We start from the raw sequence: 23,087 nt of genomic DNA on the forward strand, positions 1-23,087 counted from the left end.
TTCAGCTCTGCCTCTTCCCTAGTTATGGCTGTGCAGATGGACACCAGATGATGGTGCTTCTGCAGCCTGGCGCATCTGGGTAGACTCTGCAAAGCATCCTGAGGGGCAGCTGGATTGTATGCCCAGCTGCACCACATCTTGGCCCTAGCTCAGAGAGGCCCCATATTCCTGACTTACTTCCTATATGAAATATAAAATACATACACACAATTTACAGTTATAAATAAAAGTAGTTTTTATTCCCTCTCCCACTCCCAAACAAGTGACCCGTAGTATGTAAACAAGGGCAGATTCAAGAACACTGTCGCTAAACTCTTTTAAGTTAGATGATGATGACAACAGATGACATTTATTAAGCGCTTACTATATGCCAGGCCAGCCCCTTTTCTAAGGGTTTAATACACATTATATCATTTTATTCCCTACTTCAACCCTATGAGAAGTGTTGCCATTCTCCCCATTCCACAGATGACGAACTGCTGGCTCAGATACCTTAGGTAACTTGCCCAGAGATTCCTGAATCATAAGCGAAGGCTCTTTGCACTCGGAGCCTTTGCTTGTAACTGGTGCTCCCCCTCACCTCCCTGCCAAGGCTTCCACAGGAGCTGCAGCACAGTTGGCTCCAGTCTGACCTGGCCAGAGCAAGGAGAAGAGATGGGTTTGATGCTTGTTGAAGTGGGAGGGGGTCCATGTGCTTCCGATGTCAGTGATGCTGATGCCAAGTTCCAGGAACAGGGATGCTCAGCCACACCTTCATCCAGGCCGAGGGCTAGGCCTGAAAGGTGTGCCCCTCCTAAATAAAAAATAAATAAGCTATGTATAGAGATCATCATTTTGTTTTCAGTGCTCTACGTATATTAACTCAATCCACCCATAACATTATAGGGCAGGTACTATTATTATTCACATTTGACCAGTAAAGAAACAAGTATAAAGAGGTTAAGTAATGTGTTCAAAGTCATGCAGCTAGTAATTGGTGAAGCTGGGATTTGAACCCTAGAAGCCTGGCCCAAAGTCCATGTTCTTGTCCACTGCCTCCACTGTGGGCTGTTATCCCAGGTGAGTCTGGAGGAGGTGGCATGACCTTTTAGGAGTCCAGGGTGGGCGGCCAACTAGACAGAAAGCAGCTCATGCTTCTCCACTCTTCCCCTAGATGAACATGCTGATGAGGCTGCAGGAGGCAGCCAACTACTCCAGCCCCCAGAGCTATGACAGCGACTCCAACAGCAACAGCCATCACGATGACATCTTGGACTCCTCTTTGGAGTCCACTCTGTGACAGGGGCCCGGAGCCCAGCGCCCTCCTCTTCTCCTCACCGCATTCCACCTGCATCCCCCACATCACCCTGAAGATGACTTCCTGAGCCAGCCCCCAGCCACAGCCTTAGAGCTGCGGGAACACCGAGACCCCCCGTCCTTCAGCCTCGACCTGGGTGCAGGCATCCCGGGCCAGCTGCCTGCGGACCGCTTCCTTCCACAGCGAGAACTGCACTACCTTCTGTTGTACTTTAATTATTGTTTTGCCTTGTTGCTGTGACCTCCCTAAGACACTGAAGATACTTCTCGGGAAAGGATCATCGCCGTTGAAATGAAAAGAGAGACAGAGAGAAAAAAAAAAAGAGAACCCACATGAAGCTCTGAAACCAAACAGCATCCTGCCATGAGCTTCCCAGAGACAGAAGAGACTGGAGCAAAGTCGGAAACACAGAGAAGCACGGCTTCCCCTCAGCACAGACCCTCCAGACTGGGTCTCAGAGCCGTGCCACCCACCCTCCCACACAGCCGGCCACAGGGAGAACTGGTGCTAACCAGGGTGCTTGCTTTGGTCACGTTCAACGCACTACAGAGCTACGACACAGGGAAACCTTAGGAGCAAATAAACCGTGCTTTCATGTTTTTTAAATGGTGCTTTCCTTACCCGAGAGGTATTTTGCCTGTTCCAATCAAACCACCCCATTCAGGTCCATCAGCCTCTGATTAATATCCGTGAGAGTGAGTGACGGAGTGAGAGTGTGAGCGAGTGGATGTGGCTGTCAGTGCAGAACAGCATGTGTCTCTTTCCTTCTGATATATGAATGAATCAGGTTTTTTTTTTTTTTTTTCTGCAAACACTGTGTATAGTGAGACTTGTTCTACTTTGGAGAACAGGTTACCTTTTGAAAATGAGGTTGAGTTTCTTCCTTTCTGATGCATTGATTTTTGAAGATTTTTTTTTCCCCCTTCCCCTCTTGGTCAGAATCAATCCTTTGGTGAAAGTAAGAACCGCAGGAGTTGAGTTTTGGTTTGGTCCTGCTCAGTTTTGGTTTTTAGTTGTCCATCCTCACAGTCCTACACACTCGCCTCCTCCTGCTAGGGCTGGGGGTATCTGTGTCCTTTAAAATGGATGAGGACCTGGTCCTCGACATGTGGGTGAGCCATGGACCTTGCCTTCCCTTCTCGTCCTTGAGGGTTTAGAACACACACCAACACCTCCAGCGTCCCCGCCCCAGCTTCCGGTGGGGTGATGCGGTCACCCTGCAAAAGACTTGCACTTTCCTCAGAACCAACATGACGCAGCTCAATAAGGGTGAGGGTCACTCCCTCCCAGAAGCCCCGTCTGGACGAGCCTTGCCTGACCTCTTCGGTGCTGACCTTCCCAAAGTGATGCCTTACTGGTTTTGTACTAACTGTGTTCATTTTACATAAGTGTCGTGCCTGCCTGGGGTTTGTTTTTTTTGTCATTGTTTTCCCCATTGAAACAAACAGGGCTAAAAAGTCATCTGTTCATTAGGAGAACTCAAGTTGCTGTGACTTTTCTCATCCAAAAGACTCATTTGTGTGGATGCGTGACCATGGGAAAAAGAAAAAAAAAAAGATCCATTTTTTAGGTTCTTTTCGGTCTCCAGCTGACAACCCAACTGGACAATGATCTGTCTGGTGCAGGAGAAGGCAAAAGTTTCTACAAGTCTACATGACCTTGCTGATACTTGTTCTAATAGAAACCCAGTCTGCTGTGTCTTCAACATACTGGTATTTTCATTACAAAGTATGGTAAATTTTTGAGTTGTTTGTTTCTGTTTTGTAAAGAGAATCCTTATTGGACACCAGTGAAGGTGTCTCTGTTTTAATGATCAGGGTTTTTATTCCATCTTTTGCATTTCTTCTATTTCTGAAGGTTTGTCTCTTGGCATCTTTTTTTAGTTTCTTACCATAAGAGTTTGACCCGAAACTGCTCACTTCACATTGGATGACACCATGTTCTTCCTCTTTGAAAAGAAAAGGGGAATGTGTCCCACTAGTGAAAGGAAAACTTTTCAACACTATCCCTGCTTTAGTCTCAGCAAACTCAGACTATTCTGCTTAGCCTTCATTAGTCATCTGGGTGTGAGTGTGTCTTGTTCTGTTTTTCTTTTTAATAAAACTTTTAAACCATATATTTAGCCTGTGACCAGGGGGGCCAAACCCTAAGATTTCTGGTAAACCTGAAGGGTGGCCCTCCTCAGACAATTTATCTCCCAGCAATGACCCTACTACACTCGCGTACTGTGAATTTGGGAGGAGGTAAAGTTGACTTCTCCTCGTGGGCAGTTTTCCAATCACCTTGTGAGTAGACACCTGCCAATATTGTTTGAAACCTTTTTTTAATATGACATCCTCTCTTGTCATTCTCTTCTCCCCTTTCCCACAGACTTCCCTCCTGGGTCCAGGTTCAGAACCAAGACTTCTGTACCTAGTGCTGCCTGATTGGTGAACATTGACTTCAAGTAGCATAGCCCTTGTGTGACTCACAACTCCGTGTCCTTCCTAAAGTTTCGGGAAGCAGGGTTGTCTAATATGCACATTTCTTATTTTGGTCATATTTTTACTTTAGTGTCACTCACCTTTTACAAAGTGACTTTGTACTCATTTAGGGCTCTATCGGAAATGCTTCCATTTTGCCTTTTCTACAGTTAGGCCAATTTTGAAATATATAAATTCTATGCAACATTTATGTTGAGTTACCAATGGAAGCCAAAAGTTCTCTTCCCAAACTGCCAAGAATGATACAGGCCATAATTGAAATGGGAATACCTTTTAAGTTTCATTAGGGGTGGGGTGGGAGTGGGACAGGAACAAGACTTGCCTAGATCTTTGTTGTATCTTGGGGACTTTTACTTTGTTGTTTGATGCTTAAACTTCAAAATTCTCTGTATTCAAATTTGATTGTGGCGAATCTACTTCAAAAAGGAAAAATAATCCAACTTTGTGGATATTAAATGGAAGGTTTGCTGTTTTGATCTAGTTGTTTCCAGTGGAGCAGTTTTATGAAATATGTTCTATAAGATGTACATTTTTTCATTGTAACATAGAAATTGTAAATAATTGATTAAAGTGCTGCATTTTGATGAATTTTTTCTAGCCATTTTTAAAGAGAAAACTAGGAATTGAGTATTTTGTGTACGGTATGTTTCCATCCTCCCTCCCCTTCCTCCTCCCCTCCTCTCTCTCTCTTCCTACCTATTTAATTTTCATTTGTCATGAGGTTTTTGGATTTGCCAATGATCTGCTGGACATCATGCCCCATGTCATAGAGAATAAAGCTGATGATTGTACCAGTCTTAAATTATTCATGATTCAATAAAATTGATGCTTATTTATTCAGATTAGTGGTTTGGCTTGTCTGTGCTAGAGCAAGTCCTCATAGGAGTTTTATTTCATGCTAAGAGCAAGTCAGTCTTATCTGGATGCAGCAAATGCAGGGAAAACCCCAAACCTTTGCAAACCCATCTTGGCTAGTATGCCATCAATATCCCACATCTTCTCAGTTTCTCAGGTCTTCTTGCCACTCCTGTGGAGCTTGTTAGAACTGTAGAATTTCAGATCCTCTCAGACTTTATGAATCACCAGGGATCTAGTGGATCCTCAATTTCTAACAAACTCCTAGGCAATACCAGTGCTCTAGTGCCTGGACCACACATTGAGTGGCAAGCAACATCAGTGTCCAGCCAGCCCCCTAAGTCGATCCCTTGGCATGAAAAGGATTTTTTTTTAATGTATTGAGTACCTACTAATTTCCAAATGCTTTCCCAAATACTCAGTATAATGCAAAATGATGCCAGAGAGGTATTCTTACTCCCATTTTACAAGTGGAAAAAAAAAAAAAAAAACAGAGAAAATGACGTGCCAAGGAACCTATAGCCAAGAAGTGAGTTGGAGTTTCAGCCCCATCTTCTGACCGTCCTGCCTTGCCAGGCTGCCTTCTAATCTTGGGGGCCTCCTGTCACATTGCAGCTCACATCCATAGCAGACACAGGCAGTGGGAGATGACCTTACATCTCAGCATTCACTTTGAATAGCAACAACAAAAAAGGCATGGTTTGGAGTCCTGTGGGTTCACAGTGAAATTGATCCCACATGGCTGGCTCAACTGCTCACGACATGAAGTGTCTAACTCTTAACATACAACAGTGGCCCAACCAGGGAGGAGGTAAAGAATCCAGATATTTAGCATAGGCAGTTTTAATCCCTGTCAAAAAAATAATAAAGAAGGGGTAGTACAAGTCTGACGACTAGATGTCCTGAATTCCAAGATTCTATGTCAAACATTCTATCCCATTGCTCCATGATATATTCTGAGGTTACCTAGGAAATATGATCAGCATACATAAAGGGGATGGTGGACAGATGGCTTTTTAAAGAGCAGGGAAGAGCCAGGTGCGGTGGCTCACGCCTGTAATCCCAACACTTTGGGAGGCCAAGGCAGGTGGATTACCTGAGCCCAGGAGTTCAAGACCATCCTGGCAACATGGTGAAAGCCCCTCTCTACTAAAAATACAAAAAATTAGCTGGGCGTGGTGGCACGTGCCTGTAGTCCCAGCTACTCAGGAGGCCGAGGCACGAGAATCACTTGAACCAAGGAGGCGGAGGTTGCAGTGAGCCAAGAATCACGTCACTGCACTCCAGCCTGGGCAACAGAGCAAGACTCTGTCAAAAAAAAAAAAAAAAAAAAAAAAAAGAAGAAGGGAAGGACAGGAACTGCATAACTGCATTTACGTACTCACTGGGTACCAGACGTATAGAAAATTTCACTCTATCACATATAATTACAGCACCTCTAAGAGGCAGGTGTGATTATCTCCATTTTATAGTTAAGAAAACTGAGGCTGAGTAATGTTAAATTAATACATAGTAGAAATGGAATTCTTGGTATATCTGATTCAAAACCCATGCCTTTTCTGCTACGCTAAGCTACAATCAACTTAGATAGGACTTCGATGGAGGATTACACATCCCTTCTGCATTAGCTCTTTATTGCTGTGTAACAAATTAACCCCAAATTTGGCAGCTTACAGCAGAACATTTTCTAACAGTTTCTGTGGATCAGGGGTTCAGGTATGTCTTGTTGAGTACTGTGCCTCAGGGTTTCCCACAGAGCTGTAGTCAACATGTCTGAAATAAAATTTGCAAGGAAGAAAATATTTAAAAGCAAGAACAATATAAATCATATTTAATGGTAAAATGTTAAATGTTTTTCCTTGCAGATTAAGAAACAGATAAAGATGTCTCTTACCACCACTGAATATTGTGGTAGAGATCCTAGTCAATACAGAGAAACAAGAAAAATAAATTATGAGGATTGGAAAAGGAAGAAATTCAACAGTCTTTATTCACAGGTAACACTTTGTATTTAGATTATGCAACAGAATTTACCGGTAAGTTATTAGAAATAATAAGGTAACTAAGTTTTCAAAGTCAGTACATAAAAATCAGTTGAACATCTATATGTTGCCAGAAGTTTTAAATTTTTAAGAATACCAATTTAGGCTGGGCACGGTGGCCCACGCCTGTAACCCTAGTACTTTGGGAGGCCGAGGCGGGCGGATCACGAGGTCCGGAGATGGAGACCATCCTGGCTAACATGGTGAAACCCCATCTCTACTAAAAAATAGAAAAAATTAGCCAGGTGTGGTGGCGGGTGCCTGTAGTCCCAGCTACTGGGGAGGCTGAGGCAGGAGAATGGCGTGAACCCGGGAGGCGGAGCTTGCAGTGAGCCGAGATCGCACCTCTGCACTCCAGCCTGGGGACAGAGCAAGACTCCATCTCAGAAAAAAAAAAAAAAAAACAATTTAAGAGCACAAATGTCAAACACTGCAGAATAAATGCAATATAAGGTGTGCAAGACTTCTATAAAGAAACCTATTAAACATAGTTGAGAGAAATTAAACCCCAAATAAAAGTAGGAAAATATTATGCTTTTGAGTTAGAATACATGTTGTGAACACGTCAATCCCTGCAAAATGAGATTTGATGCAATCTCATTTAAAAGCCCAACAGAGTTTTTATAGAATTGACAAAATGATTCTAAAACTTACATGGAAATGCATGGAAACTTAATGGAAATGCAACAGGTGAAGCATAGCCAATGAACAAGAACAAGAAGAGAGAGTTTTTTCTACCAAAAATCAAGACTTATTATAAAGGTCATTAAGACCTTATGCTATTGGTATAAGAATTGACAAATAGTTAAAAAGAACAGGATAGACACCCCTGAAATAAACCCAACACACACTTGCTTTGCTATATGGAATCATGAATAATGTCTCAGAAGCAAAGAAAATGTGACAAAGAACACATGACAATGGGATCCACTGGTTTTTACTCTAAAGCCGAAGGTTGGACTGCCCTCTTCAAGGTTAGTGTAACTAAGGCACCAGCTCAGGAAAGACATTTTGTGTTAGAGCACTGTCATCTAGGAAACAGTATAAATTTTCAACGGTCAGCCATTATTTGTTGTTTGTTGGTTTTTGTTTTGGAGACTGGGTCTTACTCTGTCACCCAGGCTTGAGTGCAGTGGCGTGATTATAGCTTATTGCAGCCTCCACCTCCTGGCCTCAATCGATCCTCCTGCCCCAGCCTCCTGAGTGGCTGGGACCACAGACACACACCACTAAACCCAGCTAATTTTTTTTTTTTTTTTTTTTTGAGATGGAGTCTCTCTCTGTCACCCAGGCTGGAGTGTGGTGGTACGATCTTGGCTCACTGCAACCTCCGCCTCCCAGGTTCAAGCGATTCTTTTGGCTCAGCCTCCCAAGTAGCTGGGATTACAGGTGCATGGCACCATGCCCAGCTAATTTTTTGCATTTTTAGTAGAGATGGGGTTTGCCAAGTTGGCCAGGTTGGTCTGGAACTACCGTCCTCAAGTGATCTGCCTGCCTCGGCCTCCCAAATTGCTGGGATTACAGGTGTGAGCCACCATGCCTGGCCCCAGCTAATTTTTTAAAAATATTTGAGTAGAGATGGGGTCTCACTATGTTGCCCTGGCTGATGTCAAACTCCTGGCCTCAAGTGATCCTCCAGCCTCAGCCTCCCAAAGTGCTGAGGTTACAGGTGTTAGCCACTGTGCCTGTTGTAATTTACTGTTGAATGCCCAATAGCTGGAATACATGTGTCTGGGGTATAACAGATGGGTTGTAGCAGACATCAATAATTCCTTAATTTGGGCCAGGCCCAGTGGCTCACGCCTGTAATCCCAGCACTTTGGGGGGCCGAGGTGGGCAGATCATGAGGTCAGCAGTTCAAGACCAGCCTGGCCAACATGGTGAAACACTGTCTCTACTAAAAATACAAAAATTAGCCAAGCGTGGTGGCAGGCTCCTGTAATCCCAGCTACTTGGGAGGCCGAGGCAGGAGAATCGCTTGAACCCTGGAGGTGGAGGTTGCAGTGAGCTGAGACTGCATCATCATACTCCAGCCTGGGTGACAGAGCGAGACTCTGTCTCAAAAAAAAAGAAATTCCTTAATTTGTACCCCTTCAGCCTGACTTCACCCGAACTTCCAGTGGACAACCCCTGGCATGCTCACAGTGGTCCATCTCAAGCACCTGTGTCTCTCTGCTTCTCTACCTGGGACCTTTCTCCAGTGCTGCAGAAGGTTGTCCAGTCCTGGGGCAGAGCGGCCCACAAGGACTAGGGACTTAGTGGCCCAGGGGCAGCCTATGCCCAGCTTTCTCATCCTTCTGTGGGACAAGTGGGAGGCATGGGAGGCACCCTCCACAAGGTGCATTAGAGGATCTCCAGTGGGACTGAACGCCACGTCGCCCACAGTCATAATGAAGGAAACTCAGCTGGAATTTCTCCCTTCCTTGTCACATTTTCCTACTCCCTCCCTCAGAGCTGGAATGATGATGAGTCAGCACCGAGGGCGCAGCCCTGGGAGTCCCCTTTAAATTTTGCACCGACTCACCTCACTTGCCTCAGGAGAGGCTAGTCCTGGCCCCAGCCTCAGCCATGCTTCCTGGCACCACAGCACAAATGATCTGCACTCAACTCCTTTCTCAGGATCTGCTAAGACAACTCAGCAATTCCTCTTATTGTTATGGGTTAAGTGAGCTGTGTCCCCCAAAAAGACAGGTTGAAGTCCTAAACCCCAGCACAGAATGTGGCCTTATTTAGGAACAGAGTGGTTGCAGGTGTAATTAATTAAGATGGGGTCTCACTAGAGTAAGGTAGGCCTTTCATCTAATCTGACGAGTTTCCTCATAAGAAGACAATGTGAAGATCCAAGAGACGAATGCCATGAGAAAATGGAGGCACAGAAAGGAGTCAAGTAGAAGCAAGTGCCCACAGTCTCAGAGGGAACATAGTCCTGCTGACACCCTGACTTCAGACCTCCGTCATCCAGAACCTCGAGAGAATACGCTTCCATTGTGTGAAGTCACCTTGGGGGTGGCACTTAGTTATGGTAGCCCTAGGAAACTAGCACAATCATTTATCCAACAGAAAAGCATACATATATGGGCCAAGAAACATAGACACAAATGTTCATAGCAGCACTATTCATAATTACAAAAACTGGAAACAACCCACACGTCCGCTGATAGGACAAATGAAATTGTGATCCGTCACTGTCACCCTACAGTGAAAATGTATGTGGATGAATGTTGAGTAAATGTTGAGTGAAAACCGCCAGACACAAACTCATGCCAAATGTATGATTCCACGTCTATAAAGTTCACAATAGCCTTCAGGAGTGAGTGCAGGCTTAGATCATAGATATATAAAGGAAAGCGAGAAGGGAGGGGCAGCTGTTGGGAGGGGTGGAAAGTTGCTTTTGGGTGCTGGCACGTGTCCTCCTTCTTGACTTGGGTGGTGCTACGGTCTGAGTGTTTGTATCCCTCCAAAATTCATAAAATGAAACCTAAATCCCAATGTGTTAATATGAGGAAATGGGCCCTTACGGGGTGATTAGGTCATGGGAATCCACTGTCATGAATGAGATTAGTGCCCTTAAAAAAGAAGCCACAGAGCTAGCTAGTACCTTCCACTGTGTGAGGACACAGAGCACAGAAGCCACCTATGAACCAGAGAGTAATCCTTCACCAGATGCCAAGTCTGCTGGTGACTTGATTGTGGGCTTCCCAGCTTCCAGATCTGGAAGAAAAAATTTTCTGTTGTTTAAAAGCCACCCAGTTTATGGTATTTCTGTTATAGCATCCTTAACAGACCAAGACAGGTGGTGGTGACACAAGTGTTTGCTTTGTTGTAGATCTTTGAGCTATATGTCTTTGTTTTGTGCACCAGAAGGTTTTTAGAAAGTAAACACGACCCCAGGCTGCCCACCTGGCCATCAGTGAAAGCTGCAGTGCAGCTGAGAATGCTGCCCTTGAGCACCGGCTTTGGCCTTCACCCCATCACTAACTCACTGCTTGAATTCTCAGCAGTATGTCGGTTCCTGAATGCATAAATCGAGGACGCTTTGTCCACCTTGACACTAACTGATGTGTGAGCTTGGACAAGTTAATGCCACTCCCCTGTCTTGCAGGATTGAGGAAGGTGATGCATCACGTGTGCCAGATGCCATGAAACACTGACTCCATCTTCTTCATTCTCCTAGCTGTGATTGCTTGCCTCTGCAGTCTCTGCAGGAGTCAGAGGATGGAGCTGCAGAGCCTCTAAGGCCAGAATTAGGCCCAACAGGGGAGGATGCAGACAGGCACATCAAGACCCCATACAAAGGAAAACGTCCTAAGGGCCACAGGAATAGGCTGCTTTAACGGGATACTGAGCGCCCTGTCACCACTGGAGTTCACACAAAGGCTGGAGAACGACCTGACCGAAGCAGCGGACGAATCCTCGCCCTGGGTGACAGGTGGGTCCAGATGTCTCGGAAGCTTTGTTCACCTGGCAGGATTGCCTTGTGCAGGGGAGATAGTGGAAAGGGTGTTGAGGTCTGGAGACCTGAGTTACTTAGCCTACCCTAGCTGCTACTCTCAGAGAAGTCCTATCCACCCTCAGGGACATAGTCTTCCTCTCTAATGAGGGATTGGACTAGTTCAATGGTTCCTTAATGTGGCTTATCACCAGTGACACAGAACCTCCCCTATTGCTGCTGGATCAGAATGTCCCGGGGTGGGGAATCAGGAATACAGTCCTCCCCCAACTCCTATATTCCAGGGCCGCAATTAGGGGCAGCTCCTTCGACCTCACAGTGGCCACAAGAGGGCAGCAAAGCCCAAGCAATGCCATCCTCAGGCAGGCCCTGACTTTACGGGTGGACCTGCAAAGCAGTAAATTCAGCTCTCTCTCAGATTTAGTTAGAGTATTTTTAAAAGGATTGGGCCCTGGTGTGGTGGCTCACACCTGTAATCCCAGCACTTTAGGAGGCCGAGGCCAGTGGATCACCTGAGGTCAGGAGTTTGAGACCGGCACGGCCATCACGGCCAAACCCCATCTCTACTAAAAATATAAAAATTAGCCAGGTGTGGTGGCGCACGCCTATAATCCCAGCTATTCAGGAGACTGAGGCAGAAGAATCACTTGAACCCAGGAGGCAGAGGTTGCAGTGAGCCAAGACTGAGCCACTACACTCCAGCCTAGGCGACAGAGCAAGACTCTGTCTCAAAATAAAATCAAAAGGACCCTCAGAAGGTCGAGCATACTATTTTTCCCTCTACCTCATGCTTGGAGAATGAAGCTACATTCTCTATAAAGGAGATAGGAAAAGGAATTGATGTGTGTCAGGCATCTTCTTAAGCCAAGCAGCCTGCCTTCGTGGAGCATGTGATCTGCATAACAATCGCGTGAGGTTGGTGTCATCCTCTGTCTCATGATTGGTCAAGGGACTTGGGCAAGGTCTTGCTAATCAGAGACAGAGTAAGGATTTGAACCCAGGCCCTGCCAGAAAGCATGGAGTCTTGCTCCTATACCAGCCTGCATCCCTACCAGCCACTGCTGACTATGCATTCACATCCATGACCCCACTGGCATTCTGCCTTGGCCTTGCAGGTGAGGCCCAGAAGGTATAGTGACACTTAGGAAGGGAAACTGTCTCAGAATGGACCCTGAGCTAATGATGCTGCCAGAATAAGAATCCAGGTGCTCTAACTTCCCTTCCCAGGCAACTAGGGGAGCAGTTAGGCCCCAGACTCTAGAGTCAAATCAGGGCTCCACTGTTTGCAAGCTGTGACCCTGGGCAAATGGTGCAGCTCTCTCTGAGCTCAGCTTGCAAATCTGTAAAATAGACATGACAATATTAACCTGCAGGTGATGCTATAAGTGTCCTTCTCAGTGTAGGGGTGGAAAGGTATGATACCTTTCTTCACCCATCATAAGACTCACGAATGACACTCCTATAACAAAAGACAACAAGAGAAAAGCATAACAAATTGACTTAAAGTTTTATGTGACACAGGAGCTTTCAGAATAAAGACCTAAAAACTCAAGAGAAAACTGTCTGTTTTTAGCCTTAGACCCCATGAAGAATGCACAGCCATGTAGAAATGTGATTGGATGATTGGACAGAAAGGGTATGATCTAATGCTAATAGGCGGAGTGGGGAAACCTAGCAAGGCCCGACTTCAGATTCTTCTTGGCCTCTCTGTGTGCCGTTCCTTCCTCCCTGGTATGGGGCAAGGTCCCTTCTGGAATAAGGGTCTTATTATCTGCTATCAGACAAGGTAGGTCAGAGAATTTCTTTATGGCCAGCTCTTACACAGAAAGGCAGGGGAAAGTTAAAGTCGTGTTTCTAGGTTTTATGGCTGGCTTTGGGGAAAAGGAATTCTAGTTTTTATGGCCTGACTTGGAGGAGAAAGGTTAGCAGAAGAAAAAGGAAAAAGGACAGAAAAAGACTTTGTTTATGAAACCCTTTCAGTGTCATTCAGTTCAAAGCACTCAGCATGCCAAGACACCATACTTTGGGATATCGTTTTCTGAACCCTGACATTAGCAGCCACTGTCCACTCTTCCTAACTGAACAGCAATCGTTATCACAGCTGTTTTTAAAAGGTCACTGTCTTTGTTTTATGCTGCAATAACAGAATACCTGAGACTGGGTAATTTATAATGAACAGATATTTATTTTTTGTGGAAGGTGAGAAGTCTATGGTCAAGGCGCCTGAACTCTGGGCAAGGACCTTCTTGCCGCATCATCCCATGGCAGAAGGCAGAAAGGTAAGAGAGAGAGAAAGGGGTGAGGCGACTGAACTCATCCTTTTACAAGGGACCCACTTTTGCAAAAACTAACCCACAACCCACTCCTTCAATAACAGCATTAAGCCACTCGTGAGGGCAGAGCCATCATGACCTAATCACCTCTCCAAGGTCCCACCTCCCAGCACTGTTGCCTTGGGGATTGCATTTCCAATACACAGACTTTGAGGGACACATTCAAACCATAGCAGTTGCCCCAGATCTTGCCAGGCTGGAATTTATTTCTGGCCTCCTGTCTAGTAAAGACCAATGTAGTTTCCTGTGATTGGATTGCGGCTAGGGGACCTGGGTTTCAGTTTAGACATTTCCATGAACTTGCTGCATTCCCTGTAGGGACTCATTTCCCATCTGCGGGCTCATTTCCATGAAGTTGCTGCATTCCCTGTGGGGACTCACTTCCCATCTGTGGGCTCAGGACAGTCAGGTGTGAAGCAAAGGCAACACATCAGTGAGCCCTCCCTCACTGCTGACCCATCCCCTTGCTTCCTTGACTTTTCTTTGCTCTGTATCTCAAGTGAGCGCTGGACCTGCCTCAGGCACCACTGCGATGCAGAGGCTTGGAGGGTTTTTTGGGTTCAGTTACAGTTTCTGAGCCTCTTGGCTCTGGTCACTTTTTCAGTGGAACACTTCTTCTTCCTTTTATTTTTTAAGAGAAAGGGGCTAGGCATGGTGGCTGACACCTGTAATCCCAGCACTTTGGGAGGCCAAAGCGGGTGGATCACCTGAGGTCAGGAGTTCGAGACTAGCCTGGCCAACGCAATGAAACCCTGTCTCTACTAAAAATAAAAAAAAATAAAAAAAAAATTAGCTGGACATGTTGGCAGCCACCTGTAATTCCAGCTACTCAGGAGGCTGAGGCAGGAGAATCATTTGAACCTGGGAGGTGGAGGTTGCAGTGAGCTGAGATCATGCCACTGCACTCCAGCCTGGGTGACAAAGTGAGACTTTGTCTCAGAAAGAAAAGAAAAAGAGAAAGTTTCTCATTCTCTGTCACCCAGGCTTCAGTGCAATGGCCCAATCTCGGCTCACTGCAGCCTCAAAGTCCTGGGCTCAAGCCATCCTCCCACCTCAGCCTCCCAAGGTGCTGGGATTACAGGCATGAACCTCTGGGCAAAGCTTTGTCATTCTTCATACTTTTCGAACAAGGAGCCCTGCATTTTCATCTGCACCGGGTCCTGCAGATTATTACGTAGTGGGTCCTGGTGTGGATTCGTGTGCCTGGGTTCCGTGCCCATTCGTTGAGCTGGGGTACGGGGATCATCAGCTACACCCAGACCACACGGACCCAGAAGCGGGGGGCAGGGTTGCTAAAGAAAAACTGAAGAGCGTTACCAGAAGCAAGAATGGTTGTGGCGTCGGCAAAATTGAATACACGTGCGTATCGACACCGATGTGGGATACGTTCTGAGTAGTTGAGGGAAGACCCAAAATCATGCCGTCGGAGCTCTTCCTGGAACCGCACCGCGGCATGTGTGGCTCCATGGAGGGCGTGACGCACCGTGCAGCAATACTCGCAGCGTGGAGAGTTCCAGTCCCGAAATGGCAGCGTCAGGCAAGCTGCTTCCAATACCCCTCCCTCCGACAACCAGAAACAAATACCCAGCGCCCAGATCCACACCAGCAGCAACCCAGAGCTCCAGTCTGAGGATGAGACTGTTCCAGGGCCACAGAAAAGAGGAAAACCTCGGGCAGATGGTGAGGGAAGGGAACCTCCGTGTTCAGGACACCTCCGCCCATCCACATTCGGCCTGGCACCGATCCTGCGGAATCTCTCCCCAACGCACGGTTTCTACACTGGAACGATTGAAACTAAGGGGGTGCGCCAACTCCCCCACCTTCGCGGGTCCCCTGGCAGGAGACCTGGTCCTTGCCTTACCGCAGTAGGTGTGGCTGTGACTGAAGGGAGCGGCATCCCTGAGCACAGTCGGAGACAAAGGGAGGCGAGGGCCAACCCCAGCCCGGAAACTCTGCCCTGTAACTCGGCCAAAGGAGACGCCGCATTGGAGCGGCTGTTCCGCAGCACCATGCTGTAGAAGGTACGTTCCTCTGATGCCCTGTGCGCAAACCCCTAGCCAGCCTTCCCACACTGCCAGGATAACCCTTTTGAAACCTCCCCTGTTTGGGACAGGCCGTGCTCCCACCTTTTATTGGAGACGAGGCGAACCTGGGCTTAGGGCGCCACCTAGAGCCAAAAAAGAGGAAGCGACCTGGCCGCGAAGCTTCGCTAGGCAAGGATGTCCCACAGAAACCCAAACAAGCCAGACAGAGAAAACTGGAATAAATAATCCTTCATTGCAAAGACACAGGCGTATACCCACAAAAACACCAGCAAGCAGGAGACCATGACCTACGCAAAAGGACAAAGCAAAAATCCAGTGACTGGGCCTAACGACATGGCGATTGGTGAGCTCCCTGACCAAGAATTCAAAATAGCAGTTTTAAGGAAACTCAGTGATCTCCGAGATAGCACACAAGCGCATTTCAGAAACTTATCAAAGTTAACAAAATATTAAAGTAATTTTAAAAATCAAGCAAATCTTGAAACTGAGAAGTTCATTTGCTGAATCGCTGAAGTTCATTTGCTGATGAACTCGATAGACTCTCAACAGCAGAGGGAACCAAACAGAGGAAAGTATCAGTGAGCTTGAAGACTGGCTATTTGAAAATACAGCCAGAGGGAAAAAAAGGAAAAAAATAACTGAAAGGAATGAAGACCGCCAACAAGATCTACAAAAGTAACTCAAAACACCAAATCTAAGATCTACAAAAGTAATTCAAAAGACCAAATCTAGGAATTGTTGGTGTTCAAGAGGGAGCTGAGGCCGAGCATGTGGCTCATGCCTGCAATCCCAGCACTTTGGGAGGCAGAGGTGGGAGGACTGCTTGAGGCCAGGAGTTCGAGACCAGCCTGGACAACATAGTGAGACCTCGTCTCTACTAAAAATTAAAAAAATATTAGCTGGGCACAATGATGTGCACCTGTAGTCCCAGCTACTCAGGAGGCTGAGGCTAGAAGACCGCTTGAGCCTGAGAGATGAAGGTTGCAGTGAGCCGTGATCATGCCACTGCACTCCAGCATGCATGACAGAGTGAGACCCTGTCTCAAAAAAAAAAAAAAAAAAAAAAAAACCAAAACAGTGGGAGCTGAGCAAGAGCAAGGGGTAGAAAGCTTATTCGAAGAACTAATAACATAGTAATACCCAACCTGTGCAACACTCCTTTCCTGTGCCAGGCACTGTGCTAAGCAATTAACGTGTACTATCTCATTTAATCCTCTCAGCGACTCTATGGCGACAGTATTATTAATGGTGCTTCATGAAAGGAAAAACTCAAGGAAATATCTCTTCTTCCTATAGCGTGAGAGCCAGCTAAGGAGTGCAAGCCCCCCCCTCCCCAACCATGGGGTGAGAAGTGTCCCCTCTGTTCTCCCAGCAGTCCTGTGCTTCCCTGTTACAGAGTGCCCCCCAGTCTGCTGTGATGGCTGTGGCCCTGCATCTCTTCCACATGAAATGAGAGCTGGAGGCATGGCTCACTCCATGATACAGATCTAGTCCCTAGAACAGAACTAGGCTCCTATGGGGAAATGCAATAAGGACAGCGAACAAAGAAAGGGAGAGGTAGAAGGAAGCTCAGAAGTTTAAAGGACTCAGTCTGGCAGAAAAAGAAAGAGGGGTTGAGGAGGGAGTGAGATGAAGGGAAGTTGAGTGCAAGGAAGTTCAGAGGGGGAACTCTACAGAATGCACATGGAAAATAAAGTTAATCAGCAAGGATGGAAAGATATCTTAAACGTCAACATCAACAGAAAAAAGACCTAACTGTATATCAAATTGAACTTTAATAATTTAGTGGAATATAATTTTAATGGAATATAATCTTGTGCTTTGCTTTGTAGATGTGTTGATGGTCGTGGTATTGATGTAGTAATTCCAGCACTATTTGTGACTAAGGAATGTTAAAGCAAATATATTGTTTGGGGGAATAATAATTCTCATTCACTAAGAGAGAAGGGAGAAAACATATGGAATGAGAACAAAGGAAGAACACCACATTGCTGTATTAAATTAAAGATTACTAGTAAGACCTCCCTCTTGCTCCAGAAAGATAGATAGAGAGATGATAGCTATAAATCTGTTCCCTGAAAGAGCATAGAAGCAATGATATTATAGTACAAATGATCGCAGCCACCACACCATGAGTTCTAAATGCCATTCTCTAATTTTAAAAACCTGAACTTCTTAGAGAAGTGGCTGATTCCAGGTATTTGACAGAAAAATTACAAGGCAAGGCTGAACATCTTGTATCAGAAAACATGGAGGTGCTAAAAACAAACAAACAAAAACAGTGGAGAACACCGGATCCAGCTTCAAGGGGCATCCCTGGCCAGATCTGAAAGACCTGAGCATCAACAAGAGCAACGGTGGCTACGTATCATAAGATAATTGAATAAAACAAAAACCCGTGAGTCATTGTGACAAGTAAAGGCTAAAGGTGCTACCATGCCAAACCATACTGCTCAGCTACAGGCCACTTTCTTTTGCCAGGCAGGCATGAAGAGGACCATTTGAAAAGAGTTGGCGAGATGAAGGAAAGGCACGGTACAGGCCTGCATAATATTACAGAGATTTCATTATGAGAGAGGAGGTATTACCAAATGAGAACATATTTCTCTTCCTTATTATGGGTTAGACAAGGGCTTAAAAACTGGTGGCTTAATGTCCTGCTATGACTCACAGATATTTTTACTCACAAACTTCTTTAATTGGGAAATTGCACTTAAATTCCAGATTTCTGGATTGTCTTAAAATCCAGGCAATCTAGTCTTCATTCCAACCTGAAAACAGTCAGCTAACATGAGCAGAAATTGTCCTATTCAGTAGGGCCTGCATCCTTGGGCTCATCAGAGCTTCCAGTAGTACAGGCTCCCTTCACTGATTGTTGTCACCTGTCTGGCCCCTGGAGACATTATCCTTTATGACCACTAGTTTGTTTATGTTTCTGACTTGTGAGCTATAAAACTGGAATGACCACTAGTTTAAACTTCACTGCCTCTGAGAATTAGTGTCTGTCATTAGGATAGAGGCGTGTGTGTGTGTGTGTGGTGTGTGTGTGTGTGTGTGTGTGTGTATGTGTGTGCTTGATGAAATTTGATTCAACATCTGCTAACAAGACAGTTGGGAGAATGAAGAGATGAACTCCCACTTGTGAAGACTAGATTTGGAAGCACTCTTCCTGGACTTCACTGAAGAATTTAGGACATTAGGCCAGGTGCGGTGGTTCACGCCTATAATCCCAGCACTTTGAGAGGCCAAGGCAGGTGGATCACTTGAGATCAGGAGTTTAAGACCAGCCTGGCCAACATGATGAAAACCCGTCTCTACCAAAAATACAAAAATTAGCCAAGTGTGGTGGCACACACCTGTAATCCCAGCTACACAGGAGGCTGAGGCAGGAAAATAGCTTGAACCCAGGAGGCAGAAGTTGCTGCGAGCCGAGATCACACCACTGCACTCCAACCTGGGTGATAGAGCGAGACTCTATCTGAAAAAAACAAAGAATTTGGGACATCAAAAGTCTCCCTGGACTCGGAGCACCCAGCCACCTCACTTGTCATGTGGACACCTCTTCTTTACCTTCCATTCCATGTGAGCTTGGGTGGGGGTAATAATTGAAACAGGAGGGGAAGGAGATACAACTGGAAGTAGAATGTTCCCTAGGGGAAAGGGGTCAAGTTTTCCAAAAAGTTGATGGAAGGCTTCAAGCCAGTTAATGCCTTAAGAAGGCTCTTTTGAAAGGGGGCCAAATGATGGGATGGGTTTGAGGAGCAAAATTGGCTAATTGCTTAAAGAATTTATCTTAGATGTCTCGGAAGAGGCATCTGGTGGTTGTTTACACAACAGCCACCCTACCCTTCTGAGTAAGAGTACCCCAGGTTTGTTCAAGCATCAGTGTGCCCAGCGACAGAGAATAAACCATGATTGGTCTGATTATGGTAGCTCCATTGCTTGTGATTGGCCTATACATGGCAAGAATCCAGTTGTGTCCAGTGAGAGACATAAGGAGGATTCTGGGAAGGACTTTCCTCCAAAATAAAAGAGATTCATGCAAGAAGTTCCCTTTGCCATTGTCCCTTTTGCTTCCCATTTTGGATGCTGTCATATGAAGAAGTGATGGTTGGAGCTGCAGCAGCCACCTTGCCACCATAAAGCAACCAGCTCCAAAGCCAAAATGTCAAGGAAGTTTGAGTAGGAGAATAACAGAACAAGGCAGTATGAGAAACATGACCTGGTCCATTTTCACTCCTCCACTGATGCCTATACAGAGATGGCAGTATCCTACCGAGAAATGGGGTCCCAGATCCCAGAGTGGTCATGAGCAAAGAAGTTAGGGCAGCTGGAAGTGGTAGGAGAACTATTGTGGCTCCAAGGAATATTGGCAAGCAGAAAACTTGGAAAGAATGTAAAAAGAAAACCTTTCTTTTCCCAGTGGGAACTGACCTTGAAAGGTGGTAGGGACTGATTATGAGAGTTTGTAAGAAAGCACAAAATAAATCTCTACAGTATTGAGCATGGAATGGTCTACCTGCAGAACATGATAAGCTGTGCCACAGAACCTGAGGTGCAGGCATGATCCCCTGATGAAGACACGATGCCACTAACTATGGGCCTTCGCATCCTATGTGAGCTACTTGGTGACAGGTTGGTCTATGTTAGTTTCTCCTCCTATTTCAAGATAAGGCCGGGTGTGGTGGCTCATGCCTGTAATCCCAGCACTTTGGGAGGCCGAGGTGGGTGGATCACCTGAGGTCAGGTGTTCAAGACCAGCCTGGCCAACATGGTGAAACCTCATCTCTACTAGAAATACAAAAATTAGCTGGGCATGGTGGCAGAAACCTGTAATTCCAGCTACTCGGGAGGCTGAGGCAGGAGAATCACTTGAACCAGGAAGGCAGAGCTTGCAGTGAGCCAAGATTGCACCACTGCACTCCAGCCTGGGTGACAGAGCAAGACTCTGTCTCAAAAAAAATAAAAAAATAAAAAATAAGAAAAATAAATGTGGGAGCTTCTTCAATGCTAATTGATGGATCAAAATATGGTCATGGAGTGCCAATTAAACAATATCATCTATTTTTCTCCCTGTCTTGGACCACTACCAATATGCTGCTATTTTATTTATGGAGACACTGAGGTCTAAAAAATTAAATAACTCGGCCAAGGCATACACAGCAGTGAATGACAGAGCTAAGATGTGAACTAAGACATTTCTGTCTTCTTTACTCACATAACAACTGCCTCTTTGACAATGTCTTTCAACTTACAAGTTAGTCCAAAATCAAAGAAGTTTGGATCCAACTGGCTCCTGCTGCTCTTCTCAGTCAGGTCACAAGTATCTTTGTCACAGAAGTATTAATAGGCAGTGTTTTAACTGACTTCAGTAACATGACTTGAACATAGTGGATTCTCAATGAATGACTTGTGGGTGTAACTCAGGCTAAATTGCAAAAAATTGAGGCACAATAGAAGGACAGAGTAGGGATTTTTTTTTTTTCTCCAAGTCATGCCCTTCCTTTTGTAATTCAATCATTTCCTGAATACCTACTAAGTGCCATCTACCATAAAGCAGCTCACTGTTAGACGTGGCACACATTAGGAAGTGCAGAGCCTCTGGAGCAAGACTGCTTAGGTCTGAAGCTCTGCTTGCCAGTTGCCAGTTGTGTGACCTCCAGCAAGCAAACTCCTTCACACTTTGTGCCTCTGTTTCACTGTCAGTATAAATAAATATATTAAATAGAACCTACCCTGTAGGGTTCTTATGAGGAATAACTTGGAAAGTAAATACATGTAGTTTGTGTAGACTAGTACCTAGTATGCAGTAAATGTTCTGTAAATGTTATTATTCTGTCTACTTGTAACTCGGCCTTGAGTAAGAGAGTTCCATCTTCGCGTCCCAGTCCCCTTCTCCAGACTGGAATCCAAAGCCCAGGGTCTATCTCCCCTCTGCTCTCCTTTACCAAGACCCAATTCTTCTTCCTCCCATATCCCCTCCACAAGGAAATACCATTTTTCCCAAATGCCCTCTTGCTTTTTGCCCCCATTCAGTGCCTATCCCCAAGTCCACCTCAAGGTCCATGTCCCCTAAGAAGGCTTCTCCCCCTTGGTCACTTCTATCCCTTGTCTTTTGCCTAAGCTCCAACTTGCACACTGTTACCGCCCAGTCTTGCCTGCCTGTTGGCTGGCCTGTTCTGTGTGGCTGCCAGCACACAGACTTTGTGTCAAAGACTGTGCATCACATCACACAGACTTTCAGCCACGGCATGGAGTGCAAGGGATGGGAATGTATCTTATGCATTTTTCTGCACCCTCTCCCATATGCATGCATACACACACTATTATACCTGTGTATGTAATCAGTGCTCAGCAAAGCCTGCTGGATGTCTGACTGCACCATCCATTCACTCACTTCTCTTCTCATTTTCATGGCCCCCACCCAGTCTGAATCACCAAACTCTGCTTCCCTACTGATTTATCTTGCATCAGCCCAGTATCTATAGACTTAAAATAAGACAAAGGCAAAACAAATCAAGAACTTTCCTTAACAACACGTACCTTCTCAGCTACTGTTTCATTGGTCTGCTTCCTTTTATAGCTAACCGGCTTGAAAAACTTGTCTATATTCAGCTTTCGGATTTTTTTGACTATGACCCACAGTAGGAAATATATTTTTATAAAGCAGCCCAATGCACACATACACTCTCACACAAGCACACACACCCAAACACAGACACCTGCACACACACAGTCACACACAAACACACATATAAAATGGGAACAAATGTTTTATGAAACATTACTCATGGAATGCATGCTAAGATTTTTCTGTTCAATTCTATACTATGTTATGCTATTTAATTTTTTTTAAAAAAACTAACCTACATTTTTGTCCGCCTCCTTTTTTCCTATTAAATTTTTTGGCATTAAGAAATGTTTAAATATGTTAGAGGTCAAAGGGTAGTATAATAAAATTTGTTCTTACTACTTAGAATTTACAAATGTTAACTGCCATATTTCCTTCAGGTGAAAACCTGGCAAAATTCAAGTCCTCTGTATGACCTCCACCTCGCTCTATTTCCCTTTCTCCCTCTTTCCAGGCAAGAATTGGATGTGTATCCTGTGTGCATTCTTCACTTTTAGTAAATCTATGTATATCTACTAGATATATTTTTCCAATTTGAAAATTTTATATTTTACATTTTCGTTAATTTATTTGGAGTAAACGTTTGCATATGATAGGAGCTCAGGATCAGAAGTACACAAGATTTTGAAGAGCCAATTGTCTCAGCATCCTTTATTGAATTGTGTGTTTTCTCTCCATTGATCTGAAATGGCTTCTCTATCAAGAGCAAGCTTTCATATATATTTGGTTCTGTTTCTGGTGCATTTTATTCCTCAGTTCACTTCCATTTGGCTTTTACATCCATCTCACAAGGAAAAGTGGTCTTGTCAGGGTCCCTGGTGACTTCTACCTAGTAGAGTAGTTTCTATTCATTTTCATTGACATTTTAGAAATTTCAGGGGAGTTGGCATCCTGCTTTTTGAAATGTTCTCTCCTCTTTGCTTCTATGAGGACTTACTCTCCTGGCCTTCT

The 23,087-nt window shown here is 45.2% G+C and overlaps 1 protein-coding gene and 2 long non-coding RNA genes across 52 annotated transcripts in view; 2 read left to right on the top strand and 1 right to left on the bottom strand.

Moving 5' to 3' along the window:
* NAV2 (neuron navigator 2) overlaps positions 1-4,622 on the top strand; it is a 776,366-nt gene extending 771,744 nt beyond the window's left edge. For all 50 annotated transcript variants that reach the window (XM_017018520.3, XM_047427824.1, XM_017018522.2 and 47 more), the window contains one exon: positions 1,154-4,622. In XM_017018520.3, the coding sequence (XP_016874009.1) occupies positions 1,154-1,279 (126 nt within the window). In that variant the 3' untranslated portion in view covers positions 1,280-4,622. The remainder of the gene's footprint in view (positions 1-1,153) is intronic.
* On the bottom strand, positions 211-15,410 carry LOC107984418 (uncharacterized). The gene is made up of 3 exons (XR_001748477.2): positions 15,322-15,410; positions 10,276-10,388; positions 211-793 (listed from the first exon to the last, which is right to left on the bottom strand). It is a non-coding gene; the product is annotated as an uncharacterized LOC107984418 (long non-coding RNA).
* LOC124902643 (uncharacterized) lies at positions 5,961-15,322 on the top strand. Its single transcript, XR_007062615.1, has 3 exons — positions 5,961-6,632; positions 10,852-11,106; positions 13,327-15,322. It is a non-coding gene; the product is annotated as an uncharacterized LOC124902643 (long non-coding RNA).
* Positions 15,411-23,087: the final 7,677 nt, after the last annotated feature.

Source organism: Homo sapiens, chromosome 11 (assembly GCF_000001405.40).
Source record: "Homo sapiens chromosome 11, GRCh38.p14 Primary Assembly".
In the NCBI taxonomy this organism is placed as follows: Eukaryota; Metazoa; Chordata; class Mammalia; order Primates; family Hominidae; genus Homo; species Homo sapiens.